Consider the following 26,070-nt stretch of genomic DNA (forward strand, 5'->3'; position numbering starts at 1 on the left):
AAATGAGGATAAGAATGAAAAACTTCCTTATAGGGTTGTAGAGAGGCTGAAAGGAAGCAATATATGGGAAATGCTCAGTGTATTAACTCAGTAAATGGCATACAGTAACAACAGCCATCAACAGTTCCATAAGGGGAATCCCTTCATTTTAACCAGGGGACCCGTGGCCCTTGTGAAAGGTCTGAGAACATCTGAAGCTAACTTCTACACCAACGTGGTCAGATGATGCCATCCCGTATCCATGGCAACCAGATGTCTCCAGTATCTAGTTTAGTGCCAGGCGGGTGGTGTACAATGAAACAACAGAATCACAGGCTGCAACTCTGCTGTTCAGTTCATTCGTTAGTGGAATCCCTGTAACACACTCAAAATTCTGACTTCATAGGACCTTTGAATTACAGTTTCATAAAAGAAGTTCTGAAACATTGACCAATCATTTCATACACATTTTTTAGTTATTCTCAGATGATGGTTGCTGATGTAAAAATAAAACAACCAAAACCTTTGTGTTAGCTATATCTTCAAGTCTATCACAATATTTTAGTCCATTTCCTTTTTTTTTTGAGACGGAGTTTTTGCTCTTGTCACCCAGGCTGGAGTACAATGGTGCAATCTTGGCTCACTGCAACCTCTGCCTCCTGCGTTCAAGCGATTCTCCTGCCTCAGGTCCTGAGTAGCTGGGATTACAGGCGCCCGCCACCATGCCCGGCTAATTTTTTTGTATTTTTAGTAGAGATGGGGTTTCACCATGTTGGTTAGTCTTGAACTCCTGACTTCAGGTGGTCCACCTGCCTCGGCTTCCCAAAGTGCTGGGATTACAGGCATGAGCCACCACGCCTGGCCTTTTAGTCCATTTTCTATTGCTAATGTAAGAGGAATTAGATTAGGAAGTAGGTTTTTGAAGACAAATTTTCAGGTTACATGAATTGTTGGTAGCACCTCACTTCATAAGTAATATTAGATATAAAACCCTTCTCAGGAAAAAAAAAGTTAGCATTCTGGAGAAAGGAGTAAAGGAAACAATGGTTTATTGTCTTCCGTTTTGTTTTGTTTGTTTTTCAGAGGGACTCACTGTTGCCCAGGCTGGAGTGCAGTGGCACAATCATGGCTCACGGCAGCTTCAACCTCCTGGGCTCAAGTGATCCTCCTTGCCTCAGCCTCCTGAGTATCTGGGACCATGGGTGCATGCTACCATTCCTGGTTAATTTTTTAATTTTGAATTTTGCAGAGATGGGGGTCTCCCTGTGTTGCCCAGGCTGGTCTCGAACTCCTGGGCTCAAGCCATCCTCCCACTTCCTCTCTAAGTGTTGGGATTACAGGCATGAGCCTGGCTAGGAAGCAATGTTGGCCCACAGTGTCCAGTGCCCAGTACTCTTAGGAAGTATGAATTTATGAACAATTAACGCCCAGATGAGTTAACAGACCTTGGGTATAAATTGGTTGGTCTGTGTCCAAAGGCAATACAGTTTTATGCTTCATTTTATTACCATCTGTGGAATGGGACAATAACTACAGGATGGCTGTTACAGTGAATATTAAAGACTTAAAATATGTAAAAGCCCTTTGTAAGTTGCAAAGTGCTATGCAGATGCTAGGCAAAGAAGCCACAGCAGCTACCCAGTAACAGTTGTTACTTTTTTTTTTTTGAGATGGAGTTTCCCTCTTTTGCCCAGGCTGGAGTGAAGTGGCGCGATCTCAGCTCACTGCAAGCTCCGCCCCCAGGTTCAAGCGATTCCCCTGCCTCGGCCTCCCAGGTAGCTGGGATTATAGGTGCCCACAACCACACCCGGCTAAAGTTTGTATTTTTAGTAGAGACAGTTTCACCACATTGACCAGACTGGTCTCGAACTCCTGAGCTCAGGCAATCCGCCCGCCTCGGCCTCCCAAAGTGCTAGGATTACAGGCGAGCCACCGTGCCTGGCCAGTTGTCACTTTTTTCTGGCTCCAGCTGAGTAACATTTCCAAACCACAATTCTTCCTGGAACAGCATAAGTTGTGTTGGCCTTGGCCAATATTGAACTGGGGTTCTGGGATACCGCAAAGTATTATATACAATTTGCATAAATGTACATTTAGGCTGAGTAGAAAGGGAGAAAATGCTGTAAAAATTAATATGGGTCAAAAGAAATGATCTCTAATCATAAATTGCACACTTCCCCTCTCAACCATCCCCAAAACACTCATAATATTTGATATGAAAATACCATGGTGGCAAATAGCTGTATCAAAAAGAAACTATTCTTTCATTATAGCGTAGGGTGAAGCTAAGTAGATTTTAAGAATTACTGGAGTCTCCCGCACTTTGGGAGGCCGAGGTGGGCGGATCACCTGAGGTCAGGAGTTTGAGACCAGCCTGACCAACATGGAGAAACCCCGCCTCTACTAAAAATACAAAAAAAAAAAAAAAAGAGCCAGGCGTGGTGGTGCAGGCCTGTAATCCCAGTTTCGGGAGCCTGAGGCGGGAGAATTGCTTGATCCCGGGAGGCAGATGTTGCCGTAAGTCGAGATAGTGCCACTGCACTCCAGCCTGGGCAACAAGAGTGAAACTCTGTCTCAAGAAAAAAAAAAAAAAGTTATTGGAGTCAAACATAACTTGGAGAGGAGACAAAATAATTTATTTTTATTTTATTTATTTATTTATTTTTGAGATGGAGTCTCACTCTGTTGCCCAGGTTGGAGTGCAATGGCACGATCTCGGCTCACCGCAACCTCCGCCTCCAGGTTCAAGTGATTCTCCTGCCTCAGCCTCCCGAGTGACTGAGATTACAGGCGCCCGCCACCATGCCTGGCTAATTTTTGTATTTTTTAGTAGAGATGGGTTTTCACCATTTTGGTCAGGCTGGTCTCAAACTCCTGACCTCATGTGATCCGCCAGCCTCGGCCTCTCAAAGTGCTAGGATTACAGGCATGAGCCACTGTGCCCAGCAGACAAAATAATTTTTAAAAAGATGCATAAATAGAGTTGATAATTTTGGTGGTATTTGAGTAAATGAGTAGAAAAGCTGGGACTGGAAGGTGTATTGTTACCACATAGTTGGTGCTGATTGGGGAGCCTCTATTTTCTTGACTAGAAACTCACTTCTAAAGAGAAAGAGCACAGATGCCTGTTAACAAATAGGCTTCAGGACGACCTTTTTTGAATTTCCAGCAGGGAGGAAAACTGGGTCACAAGAAGATAATCTCAGGGGTTGCTGGAGGATTGGCCTTGGACACGCCCAGGTGAGGAGAGAAAACACCCAAGGGAGATGTTGACAGCAGAGAGGGCATTGAAGCAAGTCTGGCCAGTAGGAAAATGGAGCCGATGGAGATGGGGGAGGCCAAGAAAGCTGCATTTTTCATTGCTTTGTCTGAAGCAGTGAGCCCTGGGCACACTTGTGCAGTAGCTAAAATTTCTCAAGTCTGTCTCTGTAGGCAACTGGAGACACCCTGACAGCCTGTTTCCCCCAACTGGCTCCAGCCCAAATTAACTCACTCTCTCATTCCCTGAGACACTTGCCTTTGAGAGGTAAAAATTTAGCTAGTTTGATAAGAGAATGCATTTTAGGTGGGGAGGGGGCATTTTAGCAGGAATTTTTGCAAACATTTCTTCCCTCAAGGGTAAGAAATGTGTATTTTAAAAGGGAGGTTTCTATAAAGTTGGCCTTAACTCCGAGGGATATTTAAAGTGGGGAATTTCTGGCACTGCTAACAGACCCATAGTGCAGCTAAGACCTTTCTGTGGCTCTCAAATCATAATGAAGCCCAGGAAGGAGAAATGAAATTGTATACTTTGCCTGTCACAGGCATAGAGTTCTGCTGAGTAATTTGTACGTGGGATTATTATTCCATTTCACAGATTTAGAGGTGCAGCTAAAGTTGACAGGCTGGTAACCAGCCCTCGGGAGACTGCATTTTCCAAAAGTGGCTGCAACAATATCTTCCATCTGACATGTCCTTCTAGAACAGGTGTTCACAAACTTTTTCTGTTAAAAGCCATCCAGCACGTATTTTAGGATGTGTGGATCATTCGCTGTCTGACCTGACTACTCTATCACTGTGGCACAGCCCTGGGCGATGTGTACATGTACAGCCTTGTTTGTGTTTGAGAGGTGAGCCCATTCGGTGGTCTGAGGGCGATAGTTTGCCAATCTGTGCTCTAGAACTTTGCTGCTTCCCTTCAAGAGGTAGAGTCTAGGCCAGGTGCAGTGGCTCACACCTATAATCCCAGCACTTTGGGAGGCTGAGGTGGGAGGATCCCTTGAGCCCAGGAGTTTGAGACCAGCCTGGGAAACATGGTGAAACCCCATCTCCACAAAACAAAAAAAAAAAAAATTAGCCTGCTGTGGTGGCGTGCACCTGTAGTCCCAGCTACTCCAGAGGCTGAGGTTGGAGGATCACTTGAGCCCAGAAGGTCGAGGCTGCAGTGAGCCGTGATTGTGCCACTTAAACCACCCTAGGCGGCAGAGGGAGACCCTGTCTCAAAAAAACAAAAAGAAACAAACAAACTGGAAAAAAAAAAGAGGTGGACGAATTCCCTTTTCCTTGAATCCGAGAGGTTTGTGATTTGCCTATAATTAAGACAATTGGAAGGAAGTGACACTGCATGACCTCTGAGGCTAGATCAGAACAGGTGATGTAACTTTTACCAGTCAGCACATAAGTAGCCCAGCTGTCCTGAGGCTGCCATGCTGTAAGGAAGCCCAAGTGAGTCCATGTGAAAGACCACCTGAAAAGCCTTGAAACTGTAGGAGATGCTCAGCCAGCCCCACTTGCTCCAGCCCTCACCTGGAGAGACTGCAAGCTCAGGAGAGATGCTGAGCCAGAACTACCCCGCCAAAGCTCTCCCCAAATTCCTGACCCCCAGAGACTGAGAAGTGATGAGATGATTGCTTTAAGACATTAAGTTTTGGGGGTGATCCGTTGCATAGAAAGAAACAGAACATTTTCCCCAAACTAGTGAGTGGCAGAGATGGGATTCAAACTGAGGCTGGCCTGAGCCCAATCACCTGATCTTTCTATTAAAAATAAACAAAAAATACTGCTGGCTGGGGGCAGTGGCTTACACCTGTAATCCCGGCACTCTGGGAGGCCAAGGCAGGTGGATCACCTGAGGTCAGAAGTTCAAGACTAGCTTGACCAACATGGTGAAACCCCATCTCTAGTAAAAATATAAAAAATTAGCTGGGCGTGGTGGTGGGCGCCTGTAATCCCAGCTACTTGGGAGGCTGAGGCAGAAGAATCCGGGAGGTGGAGGTTGCAGTGAGCTGAGATCCCACCATTGCACTTCAGCCTGGGCAACACGAGTGAAACTCCATCTCAAAAAAAAAAAAAAAATTGTTGAAAACTGCTGACACAGAGACATGAAGTGAGCACATGCTGTTGGAAAAATGGTGTTGATAGACTTGCTCCATGCATGGTTGCCACAAACCCTTGATTTGTGAAAAACACATCTGCAAGGCCTGATAAAGAAAAGTGTAATTGCCGGGCATGGTGGCTCACTCCTGTAATCCCAGCACTTTGGGAGGCCAAGGCGGGTGGATCACCTGAGCTCAGGAGATCGAGACCAGCCTGGGCAACATGGTGAAACCCCATCACTACTAAAAATACAAAAAAATTAGCTGGGCGTGGTGGCAGGCGCCTGTAATCCCAGCTACTCAGGAGATTGAGGTAGGAGAATTGTTTGAACCCGGGAGGCGGAGGTTGCTGTGAGCCAAGATCGTGCCATTGCCCTCCAGCCTGGGTGACAAAAGTGAAACTCCATCTCAAAAGAAAGAAAGAAAGAAAGAAAAGCACAATTAAACAATGTGTGCCTGTATTTAAACCTATATTGGCTAGTGAGTTTGACCAGAGTCTAACAAAGGTTTATCAAGGAAAAATGTCAGAGAATTCAGATCCTGTAAGTCAAAGACACAACCTGTTCCAGGAAGGACTTTGCAACAGCAATTACTCTAACAAGTTACAATTCGCAGAGTCCGGCCTTTAAGGGGCTTTGAAGAGAGAGAAACCCATGAATCAATAATAAGATAAGGCTATTTGGTTTGTTTCAACTTGCGGGCTGTTTGACTTCCGTATCAAAGCCATGCCTTGAGAATGAAATCATTTCTGTCAAACAGCCCTTTCAAAGAACATCCGACACAAACACTCACTGGCTGCTCCTTTATTTCCACTGTGTCCAGGGTGTGTATGGACTTGGTGGAATTTAGGGGAATAGCTGTGAATTGTGCATCAAATAAATAACCTGCAGGGAGTTGGCACTGGTGACTGCTAGCCATAAATGTTGCTATTTGCTTACACAGGTTAAGCCTGGGCTTTTGGAGGCTTCTTTGACCTTTTCTGCCTTTTTCCCAACCCTAACCCAACATAGCTATGACAAGGCAGTTCTGGGCCGGGCAGGGTGGCTCACGCCTGTAATCCCAGCACTTTGGGAGGCCGAGACGAGCGGATCAGGAGGTCAGGAGACCGAGACCATCCTGGCTAACACGGTGAAACCCCGTCTCTACTAAAAATACAAAAAAATTAGCCGGGTGAAGTGGCGGGTGCCTGTAGTCCCAGCTACTCGGGATGCTGAGGCAGGAGAATGGTGTGAACCTGGGAAGCGGAGCTGGCAGTGAGCCGAGATCGTGTCACTGCACTCCAGCCTGGGTGACTGAGCGAGACTCCGTCTCAAAAAAAAAAAAAAGAGATGATTAAGTTAATTGGGTCATTAGGGTCATAATCCAATATGACTGGCGTCCTTCTAAGAAGAGAGACAGCAGGACCTACGTGCATAGACCAAGTGAGGACAGAGAGAGGCCAGCCACCCGCAAGCCACAGAGAGAGGCCTCAGAAGAAACCACCTTGCTGATACCTTGATCTTGGTCTCCCAGCTTCCAGAACTGTGAGGAAATAAGCTTCTGTTGTTTAAGGCACCCCATCTATGGTACTTAGTTATGGCAGCCCTAGCAAACTAACATACCCACAAACAGAGAATTCACAGCCTTAAGGCTGGGACTTCAGAAAAATTCCAAAGGTAATAAGCAGAAATTTCAACATGCAAGAGTCTAGCCTTTTAGCGCAGTTTCTCTTTCTGCATCTTTCCCAGGTGGCCTGCAGGCAGGATGGTAAAGCAGTGCTGGGGGCTGGGCAGGGGCGCTGCTGACCTGCAAGTCTAGTGGGGTCACTAAGGTCTCTTGACTCAAAAGGGAAGGGACCAGGGTTCCAGTCCTAGAAAGTCCAGAAAGTAGCAGGGAGACTGAGTAGGTGTTTGGTGCATGGTCAAGAGGCCCATATTGATGCAAGTCACTAACCCCTTCCCTCTTCTAGCCGCCCTAGTCCTTCCTTCTCTCCTCTTCTTCCAGTCTCTTTGACTTTTCCCACCACCCCGTCCTGCGACACTGCTTTATTATCAGGTAAGTCAGAAGAAGGGGAAAATTTGGCTTTACCTTCTGACTTAGCGTCATGCAAATCCTGATGCTCTTTTAGTTTTTTCCTTTTTTTTTTTTTTTTTTGGTGGGAGATATGGGATGGAAGGATATTTGCCGGAGTTGGTTTTTTTTTGTTTTTTGTTTTTTGAGATGAGGTCTTGCTATGCTGCCGAGGCTTAAGTGCAGTGGCTACTCATAGACCCCATCATTGCGCACTACAGCCTTGACCTCCTAGGCTCAAGGGATCCTCCCACCTCAGCCTCCTAAGTAGCCGGAACTATAGGTGCATGCCACCATGCCTGGCCACCTGCTGGAGTTTAAGCAGGTGGTAGGATGGGTGGATGGTCCCTAAAGACACCCATCTTTTAATCTTTGAAATCTGTGGATATGCTACCTTCTAGGGAAAAAAAGGACTTGGCAGATGTTAGTAAGCATCTTAAAATGGAAAAGTTGTCCTAGACTACCTGAATGGGCCCAAAGTCATCGTGAGGTCCTTATAAGAGGGAGGCAGGAGGGTCAGAGACAAAGACGATGATGTGATGATGGGGGCAGAAGTGTGTGTGTGCGAGAGAGGAGCAGAGGGGTTGAAGATGCACCTCTGCTGCTGGCTTTGCAGATGGAGGAAGGGGCTTTAAGCCAAGGAACACAGGCAGCCTCTAGAAGCCCGAAAAGGACACAGATTCTCCCCTATGCCCTCCACAAGGAAAAGCAGCCCTGCCGACCCATTTCTGACTTCTGACCTCCAGAACAGTGAGATGATCTGTGTTGTGTAAAGCCACTCCGCTTGTGGGTGTAACTGGTGACAGCAGCAATAGGAAAGCATACAGGCTGCAAGGATGAAAATCCTCGAGAACAACTGCTATCACATTTTATTATTATTATTATTATTATTATTTTTGAGATGGAGTTTCACTCTTGTCGCTCAGGCTGGAGTGCAATGGCAAGATCTCAACTCACTGCAACCTCTGCCTCCTGGGTTCAAGTGATTCTTCTGCCTCAGCCTCCCGAGGAGCTGGGATTACAGGTGCCCACTACCACGCCCGGCTGATTTTTGTATTTTTAGTACAGACGGGGTTTCACCACGTTGGCCAGGCTGGTCTTGGACTCCTGACCTCAGGTGATCCGCCCACCTCGGCCTCCCAAAGTGTTGGGATTACAGGCCAGAGCCACCACGTCCGGCCTGGTATCACATTTAAACAGGCAGTGATGTGTGACCAGAAATTATACATATTTCTAGAGCTTTCACCCTTCAAACAGTGGTTCCCAGAGGTTGGTCTCCCACCAGTAGTGTCAGCACCTGGGAACACGTGGGTCAAATCCTCAGGCTCCACCCAGGACTACTGGGTCAGAAACTCTGGAGGTGGGGCCAGCACCCTGTGTTTGAACAGGTCCTTCTGGTAATTCTGAGGCATGCTAAGGTTCACCTTAAAGATAAGTGACCTGGGGCTGAGTTCAGTGGCTCACACCTGTAGTCCCAGCACTTTGGGAGGCTGCTAATAATAGCTATGATTATTATACCTGCCCTGACATTATCTTCTGTTTCCAGGCTTGACATATAAGGATCCTATACAAGATTTCACCTACACAAGAGATTCAATCCATCTTAGGTTCTGCTAATGACCTCCCCTCCTAAGGTTCATCAAAGCTGAAGCGGGAAGAAGGCTTGAGGATAGGAGTTTGAGACCAGCCTGGGCAACATAGTGAGACCTTGTCTGTTAAATCAAGTTTAGCCTAAAGTGGCCTCCTTACATATTTTAAGTTCAGCCTAAAGGTTTCTCTGTACATAGTGAACTATATACAACCTAAATGGAGGTATAAACCCACTGTAACCTACTCTTGTGCCAATCAGAGAGTTTTGGCCAAAGGGGGCCAACTGTTCAAACCGTGTTCAAATAAGGCAAACGCCAAGCTGTAGCCAATCCAACTGTTTCTGTACCTCACTTCTGTTTTCTATATGTTACTTTCCTTTTTCTGTCTATAAATCTTCCACTGCGTGGCTGCACTGGAGTCTCTCTGAGCTACCCTGGCTTGGGAGGCTGCCTGATTCGCAAAGCATTCTTTGCTTAACTAAACTTTGTTAAGCTTAATTTGGCTAAGGTTTTTCTTTCAACACGTCCCTGCAAAAACTTAAAATAAAAGAAATTAGCTGGGCATGGTGGCATGCCTGTAATCCCAGCTAGTAGGGAGGCTGAGGTGTAAGGATTGCTTGAGCTCAGGAGGTTGAGGCTGCAGTGAGCCGTGATTACACCACTGCACTCCAGTCTGGGTGACAGAGTGAGACCCTATCTCTACAAAATAAATACATAAGTTAAAAGTGACCTGGGCTGCTGCTTTGCCAACAGAGGGTACCTGTGGAGCCTCTGATGTGCGTATGGGTAGTGTATGTGTATGTTGGCTGTGTGTGTACCCACTGACTCTACAATTAAGCTGATTCTTTTTTTTTTTTGATATGGAGTCTCGCTCTGTCGCCCAGGCTAGAGTGCAGTGACGTGATCTTGGCTCACTGCCAGCTCCGCCTCCCAGGTTCATGCCATTCTCCTGCCTCAGCCTCCCAAGTAGCTGGGACTACAGGCGCCCACCAACACGCCCGGCTAATTTTTTGTATTTTTTAGTAGAGACGGGGTTTCACTGTGTTAGCCAGGATGGTCTCGATCTCCTGACCTCGTGATCTGCCTGCTTCATTCTCCCAAAGTGCTGGGATTACAGGCATGAGCCACTGCACTCGTCCTAAGCTGATTATTTCATGATTCATGCTTGGCTTGGGATCTGGGAATGATGGGGAAAGTTACTCTCTCAAAGATTGGCTCTGTCCCCTGGGGAATGTGGGAGGAGGGAGAGTCCAGAATTCGGCTTCCAAGTGGCCACAAGTCTGGCCTCCTTCACCCAGCCTGTGCCTGTGTCCACAGGACAAGATCCAGGCTGACAGCCATGCACTGCCACACCACTGTCCCAGACTGGGGCAAGCAGAAGGGGGCTGTTTCCTCTCATCTTTCCCCAATTTCTTGCTTGCCAGAGGCAATCCTAACTTGGCTAGCGGAAAGATAATCACTTTTGAAAACATGAGTGAGGTCAGCCCTTCCAGCCACAGCCTGGAGTTTGAAATTACACATTCATTGATTTCTTTTTTTTTCTTTTTCTTTTTTTTTGAGATAGAGTCTCTCTCTGTCGCCCAGGCTGGAGTGCAGTGGCACAATCTTGGCTCATTGCAACCTCCGCCTCCCAGGTTCAAGTGATTCTTGTGCCTCAGCCTCCCCAGTAGATGGGACTACAGGCATGTGCCACCATGCCCTGTTAATTTTTGTATTTTTAGTAGAGAAGGGGTTTCACCATGTTGGCCAGGCTGGTCTTGAACTCCTGACCTCAAATGATCCGCCTGCCTCTGCCTCCCAAAGTGCTGGGATTACACGCGTGAGCCACCAGCCTGGCCTGATTTCAGTACTGGAATGGCCTCATGTCAGCTGGGTGATCTTGTGTGCTGCCTCTCTGTGTCCCCATGTCCTCACTGGTGAAACAGGCATGCTAAAAGCATTGATTTAAGAGAGTTGTTGAGAGGATCACATGAGATAATCAAGGAAAAAGTCTTAGATCAGGGCCTGGAACAAAGTAAATGTTTAATCCTATTAATGCAATTAATTGTGGTTAATGACATGTCATAATTAATAGCTATGATTATTTTCACGAGCCCTGACATTATCTTCCATTTCCAGGCTTCGCATGTATAAGAGGTCCTAGACACAAATTCACCTACACAAGGGATTCAGTCCGTCTTAGGTTCTGCTAATGACAACTCTTCTTGAAGTTCTTCAAGGCCGTGTGAAAAGGAAAAGCCAGCCGGGCACAGTGGCTCACGCCTGTAATCCCAGCACTTTGGGAGGCTGAGGCGGGCGGATCACCTGAGGTCAGGAGTGCGAGACCAGCCTGGCCAATGTGTCTCTACTAAAAATACAAAAATCAGCCGGGCGTGGTGGCGCATGCCTGTAATCCCAGCTACTCAGGAGCCTGAGGCAGGAGAATCGCTTGAACCTGGGAGGCGGAGCTTGCAGTGAGCCGAGGTCACACTACTGCACCCCAGCCTGAGAGACAGAGCAAGACTCCGTCTCAAAAAAAAAAAAAAAAAAAAAGGAAAACCCCCCTAGAAAATGCTTTTCCCGTTGCTTCCCTGCTAATGGGCCTTTTTCATCAGGGCAGCCTCCAGCCTTAGGATGTGGCCGGTCCCCGTGCGGATGCCCGTTTCCCCTCCTGCCTGCATTCATCTGACCGGTTCAGTGGGATCTGGTACTTTTCCTCCCTCCTCCTCGTGCTGGGCTTCCACATCATCCAGACAGCTGCTGCCACATTCCACCGCTCCAGCAGCGGAAGTAAGGCACATTTAGGCCCTTTCTGGGTGAGTGACAGCATTTGAGATGAGATTAATCAAATGCCAGTGTTAGGGGAAAGCAGCCTTTCCCTGAGTCACCTCTGCTCCACCTTTCTCATGACACAGAGCATGAGCCTGTCCAACGGTTGGCCTGTGCGTCAACCTCTGGCCAGGAGACAACGGGCGCCTGTGACCTGGGCGTGAACCGTCTGTTTGTGCGCATAGGTCTGACACTGCTGCTGGGCGAGCCTGCGTGCCCCTGCCCCGCGGTCCATTGACTGTGCCGCTGAGCACAGGCAGGGATGTGTGCCTGTCGCCCTGGGCCGCTGTCCCCTGACGGCAGATGAGATATTCTTCCAGCTCAACACTGATGTTGCAGGGTTTTTCCTCACCTACCGCATGACGACTGAATGAAAGCATTCCAGGAAACCAAAAGGGCTGGGCAGGCCTCTGGAATTTCAAAGCCGACAGCCTGGCCCTGCTGGCAGCTCATTTCTGCCGCGTCATTTTCTCTGAACTGTAGGAGTAGTTTTGTAGCAAACTTATCACCAAAATCCCACAAATGTTAAGCATTACCCTTCTTAGAAAGGAAAAGCCTACTTACTTTTCCCCATTGGAAGACTTCAATTTTTTAAGATTCAAGAAATCCCCAAAAGTCATGATAAAGAAGAGGGAAAACAGACTGAGCATACCCATCCCCTTTTAAATTCAAATTTATTTTGTTTTTTTCTGCTTAGCTACAGGGAAGGTTTGATCATATCACATCTGAGTTAGGCCATATGCACCCAGGGGGAATCTCAAGAGCAAACTAATCTAAACTCCAAGAAATAGACCACTAAGACCCACCCAGGTAGTACTCACTGAACGCTCTTCCTGCCTCTCATAAGAACCAAAAATAGCGGTTTCCCGCAGATGCTCCCAGAAGCAAAGTCTACCTACCACACACACAATATGCAGAAGGGAAAAACCCAAGCCACAAGTCCCTAAACGCCTGAGTCGTGACTCATGGAGGCTGTCCTCCACCCCTGCCAAGTATAAGAAATGATTTCTACCCACCCACTTCTCTAAGGAGATGGTCCCTCATTCCTCTCTCCCGAGCAGGCTTCACAGCCCCCTTCATAGAGATGAAGCCCTAGTCATTAAATGCCCAGTGATGTTACGACTGCCAAATTCTATGACTATTTGGAAAGTTTTATCAGGTATGGATACACTCCACCTATTTGCTTAGGTGGCCAAGATCTCTGTGCAGTTGCACAGACAGTTTCTGTCCTCCCACCCCGTGAGAGGTTGTGTGTGTGTTTGCGGGGGCTGGGAAGCTAATGGAGGGAAGGAGAGACCTCCTCAGGTGAGTCACCTTGCAGTGGAACTGCTTCCTGTGTGTGTGAAGTTCTTCAAGGAGGCACCACTTCACGCAATGCCCCAAACAGAAAAATCGAAGCAAATTAGCAAATTATTTTCTAGGAGATTAGATGTTGGACAACTTCAAGCTTTCACAATAGAAAATGGCTTGTTTTAAGGCAGTTAAACCCAAAGCATGCCTTTTTTGGGGTTTTGTTTATGAATATGTTGTAATCTAAGAAGAGTAATGTTCTTACAGAAAAATTAGACCTTCATGATTGCAATCTAAGTGAGAGGCAATTAGGCTTATTTTTCTTAGAGATTAGTACATCATGTTAGTTCAGAAAGCATTTGTAAAACAGAAAAAAAAAGGAAATCATAAATATCAATTTCATCTTAACACAATGCAACTATCACTGTTCTCAACCTGAGTTCTTAATTTCTGGCATGTCACAAATTCCTTGAACTACCAATGTTGAACTAACCTCCCCTGACCCAGGGAGTTGAATAGTTTTTTCAAAGGATATGATCAAATCTCTGTTCATGCATGCCTACATTTATTCATTTTCCAAAAGCATAAATTAATTCTGAGGGACAGAAAGTAGACTTGTGCTTGCCTAGGTTTGTGGGAGATGAAAATGTGGCTGGGAGCCATGGCTCACACCTGTAATCCCAGCATTTTAGGAGGCTGAGGCAGGAGGATCATTTCAGCCCAGGAATTCAAGACCAGCCTGGACAACATAGGGAGACCCATCTCTACAAAATAAAAAAATTAGCCCAGCGTGGTGGCACATCCCTGTAGTGCCAGCTACTTGGGGGGCTGAGGTGGGAGGATCACTTTAGCCCGAGGTTGAGGCTACAATGAGTAGTGATCGCGCCAGTGCACTCCAGCCTGGGCTACAGAGTGAGACCCAGTCTCAAAAAAGAAAAAAAAAAAAAAGATCAGGAATGGCGGCTCACATCTGTAATCTTAGCATTTTGGGAGGCTGAGGTGGGAGGATTGCGTAAGCCCAGGAATTTAAGACAAGCCTGGGCAACATGGCAAAACTCAGTCTCTACAAAAAATACAAAAATTAGCTGGGCATGGTGGTGGGCGTCTGTAGTCCCAGCTACTCAGGAGGCTGAGGTGGGAGGATCACTTGAATGTGGGGGGTCAAGGCTTCAGTGAGCCGAGATCACACCACTGCACTCCACCCTGCTGGGTGACAGAGCAAGAACCTGTTAAAAAAAAAAAAAAAAGCAAAGAAAAGAAAGCTGGATGTGGTAGCTCATGCCTATCATCCCACTACTTTGGGAGGTGGAGGTGGGCGGATCACTTGAGGTCAGGAGTTCAAGACCAGCCTGCCCAACATGGAAAAATTTTGTCTCTACTAAAAATATAAAAATTGTGGTGGCGTGCACCTGTAATCCCAGCTACTCGGGAGGCTGAGGCAGGAGAATCATTTGAACCCGGGAGGGCGGAGGCTGCAGTGAGCTGAGATCACGCCACTGCACTCCAGCCTGGGCAACAGAGTGAGACTCTGTCTCACAAAAAAAAGAAAAGAAAATATTTGAAGCTAAGACTGTGGTGATGGTTGTACAACTCTGTGAGCACACACACAAAAAACGCTGAATTGTGCACTTTAAACGAGTGGATTTTATGACATATGAGTCATATTTCAATAAGGTCATTAACAATGTACCTGAAAGAATTACATGGTCTCATGAAAGTACTGCTAACATTTTATTAGTGCTAGTAATTTTTTTTTAATAGAGATGAGGGCTCACTATGTTGCCCAGGCTGGTCTTGAACTCCTGAGCTTAAGTGATCTTCCCGCCTTGGCCTCCCAAAGTGCTAAGATTACAGGAGTGAGCCACCACACCTGGCCTAGTGCTAGTAATTTTTTGTCAGTTGTTTCTGGTGTGTGATTACTAATACAATGCTCTTGAGAAGAACAGATTGCAGAAGTTTATAGGCTTCTGAGCTCAGGGAAGGCACTGACCGAGTCCCAGGCAGGCAAATGCAGTGAGTGAATTTGTTCAGTCCAATGTGTTGTCAGTTTCCTTCGTACAGTTCCATGAGATAGAGGAATGTTAGGCATATATGTTTGCTTTCTTATCCCCCATCTTTCCTGTCCTTCTCCCACACGCTACAGTCCTACACGCTATCCGGATGCTTCTCTAATGGGTGGGCGTATCAGAATTTTGAGGAGGAAGACAGTGAAGAGCAGGTAGTTTTTGTAATTTGAAAAAACATACAGTAGTTTGTCTTGTAATATAATATTTAGTTGTGGGGCATTCCTTCTTTCTCTGCTATATATATTTTTAGAGATGGGGTCTTCCTCTGTTGCCCAGGCTGCAGTGCAGTGATGTAATCACATCTCACTGCAACTTCAAATTCCTAAGCTCAAGTGATCCTCCTGCCTTAACCTCCCAAGTAGCTGGGACTGCCCATCTAATTAATCCCTCCGCTATTTTTTCTTTCTTTCTTCCTTCCTTCCCTCCCTTCCTCCCTCCTTCCTTCCTTTTTTTTTTTTTTTTTTTTGAGATGGAGTCTCGCTCTGTTGTCCAGGCCGGAGTGCAATGGGGCGATCTCGGCTCACTGCAACCTCCCACCTCCCCGGTTCCAGTGATTCTCCTGCCACAGCCTCCCGAGTAGCTGGGATTACAGGCGCGCACCACACCTGGCTAATTTTTGTATTTTTAGTAGAGATGGGCTTTCACTATGTTGGCCAGGCTGGTCTCGATCTCCTGACCTCAAGTGGTCCACCCGCCTTGGCCTCCCAAAGTGGTGGGATTACAGGCGTGAGCCACTGCGCCTGGCCTTGTGCTATATTCTTTTTTTTTTTTTTTTTTTGAGACGGAGTCTCGCTCTGTCACCTAGGCTGGAGTGCAGTGGTGTGATCTTGGCTCGCTGTAACCTCTGCCTCCCGGGTTCGAGCGATTCTCCTATTTCAGCCTCCCAAGTAGGTGGGATTATAGCCATGTGCCATCACACTCAGACGATTTTTGTATTTTCAGTAGAGACGAGGTTTGACCATGTCCGCCAGGGGTCTTGTACTCCTGACCTCAAGTGATCCACCCACCTCAGCCTCCCAGAGTGCTGGGATTACAGGCATGAGCCAGTGTGCCCAGCCTATTCTTAAAGAATAATTACAAAATGAAGATTCCGAAACCACCACGTAGGCCAAGCTATAGAATGCCTCCGAGCCTGCAGTTCACATTCCCCGTGCATCTTTTCCCTGTTACAAACCCCTCCTATCCCAGAAGTAACTAGTCTGCTGATATTTGTCATTATTTTCTTGCCTTTAGTATTTCTGCATGCATTCCTAAACAATATAGCTTGATTATGCCTGGTTTTGAACTTTAAATTAAAAGAAGCTTACTACATATATGTATTCTTTTGTATTTTGCTTCTTTTACTTAATGTTGTGGGTTGATTCACCTATATTGTAATTACATACAACTTGTCAATTTCCATTGCTATATGAAAATACCATTTCATTGCATGGAAATAAACAATAAAAATACATTTTACTATAGATGGATATTTAGGGTTTTTTTGGTATTTGAACAATGCCACCATGAATATTCCTGTCCTGTATTTGGCACACAAGTAAAAGACTTTTCTAGAAAATGTTCGGGTTGTTTGCTATGAGTTTCTTCATAATGTCAAATAATATTTTTAAAAATGTGGATATTGTCCCAACATACACTCCCATAACAGTGCATGAGAATTCCTATTGCTGCTGCATATCTTTGCCAACATTTGATATTGTTACACTTTATAATTTTTTGTGGCCAGGCACAGTGGCTCACACCTACAATCCCAGCACTTTGGGAGGCCAAGACAGGAGTTTGAGACTAGCCTGGGTAACACAGCAAGACGCCATCTCTAAAAAAATAAATAGCTGAGGTGGGAGGATCACTTGAACCTGGGAGGTTGAGGCTGCAATGAGCCATGATTGTGGCACTGCACTCCAGCTTGAGTGACAAAGTGAGGCTCTGTCTACAAACAAATAAATAAAAATAAAAAATAGGCTGGGCGCGGTGGCTCAACCCTGTAATCCCAGCACTTTGGGAGGCTGAGGCGGGCGGATCACGAGGTCAGGAGATCGAGACCATCCTGGCTAACACGCTGAAACCCTGTCTCTACTAAAAATACAAAAAAATTAGCCGGGCGTGTTGGTGGGCGCCTGTAGTCCCAGCTACTCGGGAGGCTGAGGCAGGAGAATGGCGTGAACCCGGGAGGCGGAGCTTGCAGTGAGCCGAGATCGCGCCACCGCACTCCAGCCTGGGCAACAGAGTGAGACTCTGTCTCAAAAAATAAATAAATAAATAAATAAAAATAAATAAAAAATAATGAAATAATTTTTTGCTAACCTGGTAGGTGTGTATTGGTATCTCACTGTGGATTTAATTTACTTATTTTGGATTCCTAATGAGATGAGCACTTTTTGCAGGTTTTGATATTTCGATGTCCCTTTCTTGTGAAGGGCAAAGTTTGAACACAATAGGCAAATGTAGCAATCTTTTTAAAAATTTTCATGCTCTTCATATTTTATTTCAGAAACTTCCCCTACCCCCATATCATTTTGGGAAGCTTTATTGTTTGGCCTTTCACATTTAGGTCTTAAATTCAACTAGAATTGCTTAGGAGGGCTGGAGTATAAAGTTGTAATGGTTAATTTTATGTGTCAACTTGACTGGGCCATGTGGTACCCAGACATTTGGCCAAATATTATTCTGTGTGTGTCTGTGATGGTGCTTCCAAGTGAGAGTATTACATTGGAATCAGTAGACTGAGTACAGCAGATTGCTCTCCCCAGTGTGGTTGGGCCTCATTCAATCAATTGAAGACCGGAATAGAATAAAAAGACTGAATATGAGAGAATTTCTCCTGTCCGACTGGTTAAGTTGGGGCATCGGTTTTTTCCAGCCTTCAGACTTGGCCTGAAACATTGGTCCTCCTTGGGTTGTGAGCCTGCAGGTCCTCAGACTGAAACTATCCATCAGCTCTCCTGGTTCTCAGGCTCCTGGATTCAAGCTGGAAGTACACATCAGGTCTCCTGGGTCCTCAGCTTGATGACTCGAGATCTTGGGAATTCTCGGCCTCTATAACTGTGTGCCCCAATTCCCTATAATAAATCTTTGTCTTTCTCTCTCTCCTGTTGTCTCTGTGTCTCTGAAGAACCCTGGCTAATACAAAGGTATAGTCCAATTTTATTTTATTTTTTTTCCAAATAAATACTCCTCAGTGACAGCACCATCTACTGAATATTGTCCCTTCCCCACTGAATTGCAAAGATGCCTCTCAAGCTTCCATATGAGCACGGGACTATTTCTGTAATCTGTAGTCTGTTCTGTTGGGCTACTGCCCTGTCCTTGTGCTAACACCATGTCTTATTACTATAGGCTAATTATGAATCTTGATGCTCAATAGGGCAAATCCTCTAATTTTGCTGCTTTTCAAGAGTATCTTGGCTGTATGTGGCACTTTGCAAAAACTAAAACACAACAACAACAACAAAATTCAGGTTTTTGGTTGATATTGCATTAAATTTATAGATCAGTTTTAAGTGAATTGACACCTTTCTAATTTGCAGTTTTGAATCTTTTTATTTATTTTTTATTTTTATTTTTTTTATGAGACTGAGTCTCCTTCTGTCGCCCAGGCTGGGGTGCAGTGGTGCAATTTCGGCTCATTGCATCCTCTGCCTGCTGGGTTCAAGCAATTCTCCTGTCTCAGCCTCCCAAGTAGCTGGGACTACAGGCATGTGCCAGCACGCCCAGTTAATTTTTTTTTTTTTTTAAGTAGAGATGGGGTTTCACCATGTTGGTCAGGCTAGCCTTGAACTCCTGACCTCAGGTGATCTGCCCACCTTGGCCTTCCAAAGTGCTGGCATTACAGGTGTGAGCCACCGTGCCTGGCTGACTCTTTTTATATGACTTTAGGAGTTAGTCTAGAAATTCTAATCCACATATTTAACTTACTAATATCTAGACTTAATACCCTTAACCTTTTCTTAGAAAATACAAGGTACTTAAAACACTTTAACTCCTGACTTCTACTGGGTTATATGTATTTTTAATTCTGTCTTTTAAAAAATATTCTGGACAGTTGTGGTGGCTCATGTCTGTAATCTTTGCACTTTGGGAAGCTGAGGCAGGAGGATCACTTGAGCTCCGAGTTCAAGACCAGCCTGGGCAACATAGTGAGACCTTGACTCTACAAATAGTAAAAATATTAGCTAGGCATGGTGGCGTGTGCCTATAGTCCCAGCTACTCGAGAGGCTGAGGCAGGAGAATTGCTTGAGCCTGAGAGGTAGAAACTGCAGTAAGCCGTGATTGCACCACTGTACTCCAGCCTGGGCAACAAAGCAAGATCCTGTCTCAAATAAGTAAATAAATTAAATAAAATTCACAAGATGTAATTTGTTATTTTTATTTTATTTTTTCAAGACGAGGTCTCGCTCTGTGGAGTGCAAATGGCGAGATCATAGTTCATTGCAACCTCGACCTCCCAGGCTCAAGCGATCATCTTATCTCAGCCTTCTGAGTAGCTGAGACCACAGGTGTGTGCCACCACACCGAATTTTCTTATTTTTTGTAGAGGCAAGTTCTCCGTTGCCCAAGCTGGCCTCCAACTCCTGGCTCAAGTGATCCTCCCACCTCGGCTTCCCCAAGAGATGGGGTTACAGGCATGAGCCACTGTGCCTGGCCTCACAAGATGTTGTTATCTTTGTTTTACACTATCAATGCCCATGCGTCCTTACTTAATTATTAACCACTGTATTGCTGTTCATTCTTCCTGCATCTCATATCTTCCATCAGGGATCATTTTTCTTCTACATAAAATAAATCATTTGTAATTTCCTTTAGCGGTGGTCTGCAGTCTTCATTTGAGGGTGTCTTTATTTTGTCTTCATTCTGGAAAAATATTTTTTCTTTTCTTTTTTTTTTTTTGAGATGGAATTTTGCTCTTTGTTGCCCAGGCTGGAGTGCAGTGGACCGATCTCTGCTCACTGCAACCTCCGCCTCCCAGGTTCAAGCGATTCTCCTGCCTCAACCTCCGAAGTAGCTGGGATTACAGACTCACGCCACCAGGCCCAGCTAATTTTGTGTATTTTTCGCAGAGACGGGGTTTCACCATGTTGGCCAGGCTGGTCTTGAACTCCTGACCTCAGGTGATCTGCCTGCCTCGGCCTCCCAAAGTGCTACGATTACAGGTGTGAGCCATCATGCCCATCCTAATTCTTATAATCCAACGTCTTAATCCTTGGTGGGTTGTTTCTCTCATTTATGATGCCTTGTTTCCTTGTATGCTTGGTTATTTTTGACAGTGAGAAGATTACTTTCCTTGGGAGCTTATTTTGGAAGGTTATATGTGGCCTAGAAAAAGTCTTTTTTTTTCTGTAGAGGATTATCATTTGAAATATATCATTCATGGCTTGAAGTTTTTTGGACCGTTCAGGTGATGTAAATTTGGGCTGAGGTTTGAATGAGAGCTCATGGTTACAACTTCTCATGAATGGATAACCCCCAATTTTAGTACCAAGACAAGTGTTTGTTTTTGTGTTTTGAGTTGAGATGGGGAGTGGATCATATGGCAATGACTACTTGCTCATCTTTACCTTTAGGGTATAATCTTTTTGGGGTGCCAGGTTTATGGGATAGAATTTTCCTATTAGGCTACGCCTTGGGCAAGTTTTGGGCTTTAAAGTCTGCTTCTACCTACTCTAGGTACCATCAAAGCCTAAATTGGGCTGGGCACGGTGGCTCATGCCTGTAATCCCAGCACTCTGGGAGGCCAAGGCGAGCAAATCATTCGGTCAAGACATTGAGACCATCCTGGCCAACATGGTGAAACCCCCTCTCTACTAAAAATACAAAAGAAAAAAATCAGCTGGGCATGGTGGCGGGCTCCTGTAGTCCCAGCTACTCTGGAGGCTGAGGCAGGAGAATCGCTTGAACCCAGAAAGCAGAGGTTGCAGTGAGCTGAGATCATGCCACTGCACTCCAGCCTGGTGACAGAGCTAGACTTCATCTCAAAAAAAAAAAAAAAAAAGCCTAAACTGAAGATCAAGCTGAATAGATAGGGAGGGGGAGTGCTTTGCATGCTTCCCTCAGGGGAATTTATCAGAATTAAGAGTGGAAGGTGGGGATTTCTGCCAGGGATGATTATGTATATGTATGTACAGTATATAAAAACTTAGCTTGGATTTTTTAAAAGTTTAGAAACACTATTCTGTAACTGTATTCAGTCCTGTTTTCTAAAATTTCACTGAAATTGCAATTCTACAAATTCTGTAATGAAGTTCCTTTATATTTTGTGATTCCTTAGATAATGTGCTAAAAGCTATAGATACTTTTCTCCAGAGGTAATTCACATATGCACACATGTATACACTTTTATTATAATTTCAAATGGTTTAAGAGACCCTCTAAAGTCCATTCATGGAGTCAGTGTAAGAACGTAAGCTCTAAAAATACTGAATACTACTTGAATTTCCATAAGTAAAGGAATAGTTAAATAACTACGGCCATGCATGAAAACAGAATTTTATGAAGACATTAAAAAGAAGGTAACTTTATATTTACCAATATAGATAGATGCTAAAGATACAATGTCAAGTAAAAAGAGCAATTTGCCCAGCATATTAGAATAATTTTGGTTGTGTATATATATTATGTATGTTATGATTCCATTTGTGTATGTGTATAGAAAATATCTGAATACACAAGAATTTTGGACAATGTGGCTGGATGAGTATTATACACAAGAATACACAAGAAATTTGGACAATGCGGCTGGATGAGTATTATAGAGACTTTTTTCTTTAAAATAAGTTATCTTTGAACATCCCCCCCCACTATAAATTTGTATACTTTTTTTGCATATATTAAAGAAAAAAATCAAATTAATTAAAAGGTGAATCTTTTTTATAATACATAATGTTTTATTTATAATCTACTCCAAAGAAAAAAGTGACTTTGTATTTATTGCTATTCAAGTGAGATCCTTTTCTGTAGCTGAAAACTTTGATCTCCCTTTCCTTCTTTGTTTACCTAAAGGTTAAGAGACATTTTTGGACTTTCCATCCTGGCTTGACTCATCACTGGTTGATCATCTTGCTTTTGATTCTCTTCTTCAAGTTTTCAATTTCTTATTTATGTGTAATGCCCTGACATTATAATAATAAAATCCAGATAGATGTAAATTATATTGAGAATATTGCCTTCATTTCTATATGAATTCACTTAATTTATGTCCTTTTAAGACACACTTTGTGATTTTAATACAAACTGGTTCATGGATTATTAATTCAAATTATGCTGTTATAGTCAACCACATGAGATGAGGTAATTGGAAAGATACCATGTTCTTACATAACGATTTGGTCTCTGAATGACTGAAGGACTCTCCCTGTCATTTATTTGTACAGATGAATTTATTCGAAGGTGAACAAAGTAATTCTAATCTTTACCAAACATTAAATTTCCTACTTGATATTTCAACTCAATGACATCCAATTTTTTTAAGCAGAGTAAATTTTCTAACTTTATTATCTGACATACATGAGGCGTGTTGAATAACATTAGAAAAGAGACATTTTCCCTGGCTCCTGTTAGAGCAGGGTTTGGAATGAAGCAGGGAAGTGTGTATAATAAACATAGAAATCACTACAATAGAAGATACATGAAATGTCCAGATGTTCTCTCTTACTGACCACAGAAAGTTTCATATACAAACTAGTCAAGAGTCTGGTTGTCTGTCCCATTTTTTTTTTTTTTTTGAGAGGGAGTCTCGCTCTTTCACCCAGGCTGGAGTGCAGTGGCGGGATCTCGGCTCACTGCAAGCTCCGCCTCCCGGGTTCACGCCATTCTCCTGCCTCAGCCTCCCGAGTAGCTGGGACTACAGGCGCCCGCCACCACGCCCGGCTGATTTTTTTGTATTGTATTTTTAGTAGAGACGGGGTTTCACCTTGTTAGCCAGGATGGTCTCGATCTCCTGACCTTGTGATCCTCCCACCTCCTCGGCCTCCCAAAGTGCTGGGATTACAGGCGTGAGCCACCGCGCCCGGCCTGTCTGTCCCATTTTTTTGTCAGCAAATAGGAGCTCCACCTTCTTGGCCAACTCATTCATTCATTCTTGCAGCAGTGGGTGTGGTGACCTCTACTGTGACTAGCTGAGGACAACCTCCTGGGGACCAGGGAAGCTGCTGGGGATGTACTTTAATGAGAATACTCACCAGCAGATGGCCACCATCTCTGTCTTGCAGTCAGTTACTTGCTAACAACTTCCTTATGTTTAACCCAATTCTCTCTTGGAATGTAACCCCCTAACTTTGAATTCTAATCTTCAAAAAGAAAGAAACTGGCAATATCCAATTTGTAAGCCCTCATTCTTCCCCTCATAACTATGTTTAAATAGTCAGCAATTCCATGAATTCAATCTCCTCATCCCATGGATGACTTGGTCTTGACAGGCCTTCCTCAATAATCACTGGATTTTCTGCCTCTAATCCAGACCCTTCCTAATTCACTCTTCGAAATGCCTTCTGAGTTGTATTTTGAAGAAAGCAACTCAATACTTCATTCACTGGCTTAAAGATCTTCAATATCTCCTCATTTCCTAAAGAATGAAATTCAAATTCCTTGAGGGGATTTTGACAGTTGGGCCCTTTATCTTCTGCCTCTTCCTATTCTCTCCCCACATACCTTTCGCTCTTTTCTCAGATATGTGTATGGTCCTGTTTCCCTGACTTGACACATGCAACCCTTCTGCTTGGAGTTTCCACTCTCCCTTTCTTTACCTGGCCAACTCCTATCATCCTTCAGGTGTGCTGTCACCTCTCCTGTGAAGCCTTCCTAGGTTATCTGCTTTGTCCTCATGCTCTCTTAGCCTTTAAAGGCTGTCTTTTACACCTTTCATTAACTAATTATAGATTTCTGTCTCCCCAAGAGATAAGAACCCATGTCCTCACTATTTCTGAGTCCAGACCCTATAGAGTGCCCAGTTCAATAGAATTTGTTTTCAATTATACTTTTGTATATAATTTTTGTTGGTTTGTTTTTTGAGACGGAGTCTCGCTATCTTCTAGGCTGGAGTGCAGTGGCACTATCTCGACTCACTGTAACCTCCACCTCCCGGGTTCAAGTGATTCTCCTGCTTCAGCCTCCCGAGGAGCTGGGACTACAGACGCACGCCACAATGCATGGCTAAATTTTGTATTTTTTTTTAGTAGAGATGGGATTACTCTATGTTGGCCAGGCTGGTCTCAAACTCCTGATCTCAAGTGATTCACCCGCCTCGGCCTCCCAAAGTGTTGGGATTACAGGCATAAGCCACCATGCTCGGCCACTTTTACATCTTTTTTTTTTTTTTTTTGAGATGGGATCTTGCTCTCTTGACAGGCTGGAGTGCAGAGGAGTGATCTCCGCTCACTGCAACATCCGCCTCCCAGGTTCAAGTGATTCCCCTGCCTCAGCCTCTCAAGCAGCTGGGACTACAGGTGCACACCACCACACCTGGCTAATTTTTGTATTTTCAATAGAGACGGAGTTTCACCATGTTGGCCAGGATGGTCTCGATCTCCTGACCTCATGATCCACCCGCCTCGGCATCCCAAAATGCTGGGATTACAGGCGTTAGCCACTGCGCCCGGCCACTTTTACATGTCTTAAATGAGTTCATATGTCTTTCTAAGGAAACTCAATCTTTTCCTAAGAACAAAACTGAACTATCACAAAATGAACCCCTGGATGTCCCTGATTATCCAATAGGCAACAGTGATACCCCATCCTTTTGATTGTTGTAAAATTTTGCAGTGTATGTTTATGGATATTTGCAGGGATAGTGAGTGAGCAAGAAAGGGGCAAAGGCTGATCAAGGAATTTCATTTCTTCCTAATTTTAAGACCCACAATCTGGTAATATAAAATGATACGTGCAAATCCCTAGAAAAGTCTCCATCTGAGGCTCTCCTCTTGTTTGCCTTCTAGAAACACGTTTAGTTTATTTGGTAAAGGAGACACACTTCGCTCCTGGTAGCACTTTCCTATATCTACGATTTTGCTCTTTTAAAAATGTTTTTCTAGGCCAGGCGCAGTGCCTCACAACTGTAATCCCAGGACTTTGGGAGGCTGAGGTGGGAGGATTGCCTGAGCCCAGGAGTTCAAGACCAGCCTGGGCAACATGGCAAAACCCTGTCTCCCCCACCAAAAAAAAAAAAAAAAAAAAAAATTAGCCGGGCATGGTGGCATGCACCTATAGTCCCAGCTACTCAAGACACCAAGGTGAGAAGATTGATTGAGCCTGGGAGGTCGAGGCTTCAATGAGCCATGATTGTGCCACTGCAATCCAGCTTAGGCAACAAAGTGAGATACTGTCTCAAAAATTAAAAAAAAAATTCTAGTTATTTAAATATTATATCAATATAATACACAGAGTTTTGTTAAAACTTATCCAATTCCAAATATATTAGAAAGACTAATGCCTGACTTACGTTTCTTTGGCACCTAATGTATTTTCAATTCATAACTCTATGGTTTGTTGCATTATCACTATTGTAGGTTTTTGTGCTAGGTAGCTTTTTTTTTTTTTTTTTTTTGAGACGGAGTCTGGCTCTGTTGCCCAGGCTGGAATGCAGTGGCATGATCTTGGCTCACTGCAAGCTCCGCCTCCCGGGTTCCCGCCATTCTCCTGCCTCAGCCTCCCGGGTAGCTGGGAGTACAGGCGCCCGCCACCCCGCCAGGCTAATTTTTTGTATTTTTTAGTAGAGACAGGGTTTCACCGTGTTAGCCAGGATGGTCTTGATCTCCTGACCTCATGATCCGCCCACCTAGGCCTCCCAAAGTGCTGGGATTACAGGCGTGAGCCACCGTGCCCGGCCCTTTTTTTTTTTTTTTTTTGAGGCAGTGTTTCACTCTGTTGCCTAGGCTGGAGTGCAGTGGTGCAATCATAGCTCACTGTAGCCTTGACCTCCTGAGCTCAAGTGATCCTCCTGCCTC

At 44.8% G+C, this 26,070-nt stretch overlaps 1 protein-coding gene across 33 annotated transcripts in view, besides 5 other annotated features; it reads right to left on the reverse strand.

Moving 5' to 3' along the window:
- DLGAP1 (DLG associated protein 1) overlaps nucleotides 1-26,070 on the reverse strand; it is a 959,276-nt gene that overhangs the window by 116,263 nt on the left and 816,943 nt on the right. The window lies entirely within an intron of this gene.
- Nucleotides 11,186-11,759: an enhancer, noted in NCBI's record as "H3K27ac-H3K4me1 hESC enhancer chr18:3623479-3624052 (GRCh37/hg19 assembly coordinates)". NCBI's record gives its function as "activates a minimal SCP1, AML or CMV promoter by ChIP-STARR-seq in naive H9 embryonic stem cells {active_cell/tissue: H9 hESC(naive)}" and the evidence as "EXISTENCE:reporter gene assay evidence [ECO:0000049][PMID:30033119]".
- Nucleotides 11,186-12,741: a biological region, named in NCBI's record as "P300/CBP strongly-dependent group 1 enhancer GRCh37_chr18:3623835-3625034".
- Nucleotides 11,542-12,741: an enhancer, noted in NCBI's record as "P300/CBP strongly-dependent group 1 enhancer chr18:3623835-3625034 (GRCh37/hg19 assembly coordinates)". NCBI's record gives its function as "activates an origin of replication core promoter dependent on BRD2, BRD4, P300/CBP, MED14 and CDK7 cofactors, with strong dependence on P300/CBP, by STARR-seq in HCT116 cells {active_cell/tissue: HCT116}" and the evidence as "EXISTENCE:reporter gene assay evidence [ECO:0000049][PMID:35650434]".
- Nucleotides 11,576-11,870: a silencer, noted in NCBI's record as "tiled region #14378; K562 Repressive non-DNase unmatched - State 1:Tss". NCBI's record gives its function as "represses a minimal TATA promoter and a strong SV40 promoter by Sharpr-MPRA in K562 cells {active_cell/tissue: K562}" and the evidence as "EXISTENCE:reporter gene assay evidence [ECO:0000049][PMID:27701403]".
- Nucleotides 12,906-13,477: an enhancer, noted in NCBI's record as "H3K27ac-H3K4me1 hESC enhancer chr18:3625199-3625770 (GRCh37/hg19 assembly coordinates)". NCBI's record gives its function as "activates a minimal SCP1, AML or CMV promoter by ChIP-STARR-seq in naive H9 embryonic stem cells {active_cell/tissue: H9 hESC(naive)}" and the evidence as "EXISTENCE:reporter gene assay evidence [ECO:0000049][PMID:30033119]".

This window comes from Homo sapiens, chromosome 18 (genome assembly GCF_000001405.40).
Source record: "Homo sapiens chromosome 18, GRCh38.p14 Primary Assembly".
NCBI lineage: Eukaryota > Metazoa > Chordata > Mammalia > Primates > Hominidae > Homo > Homo sapiens.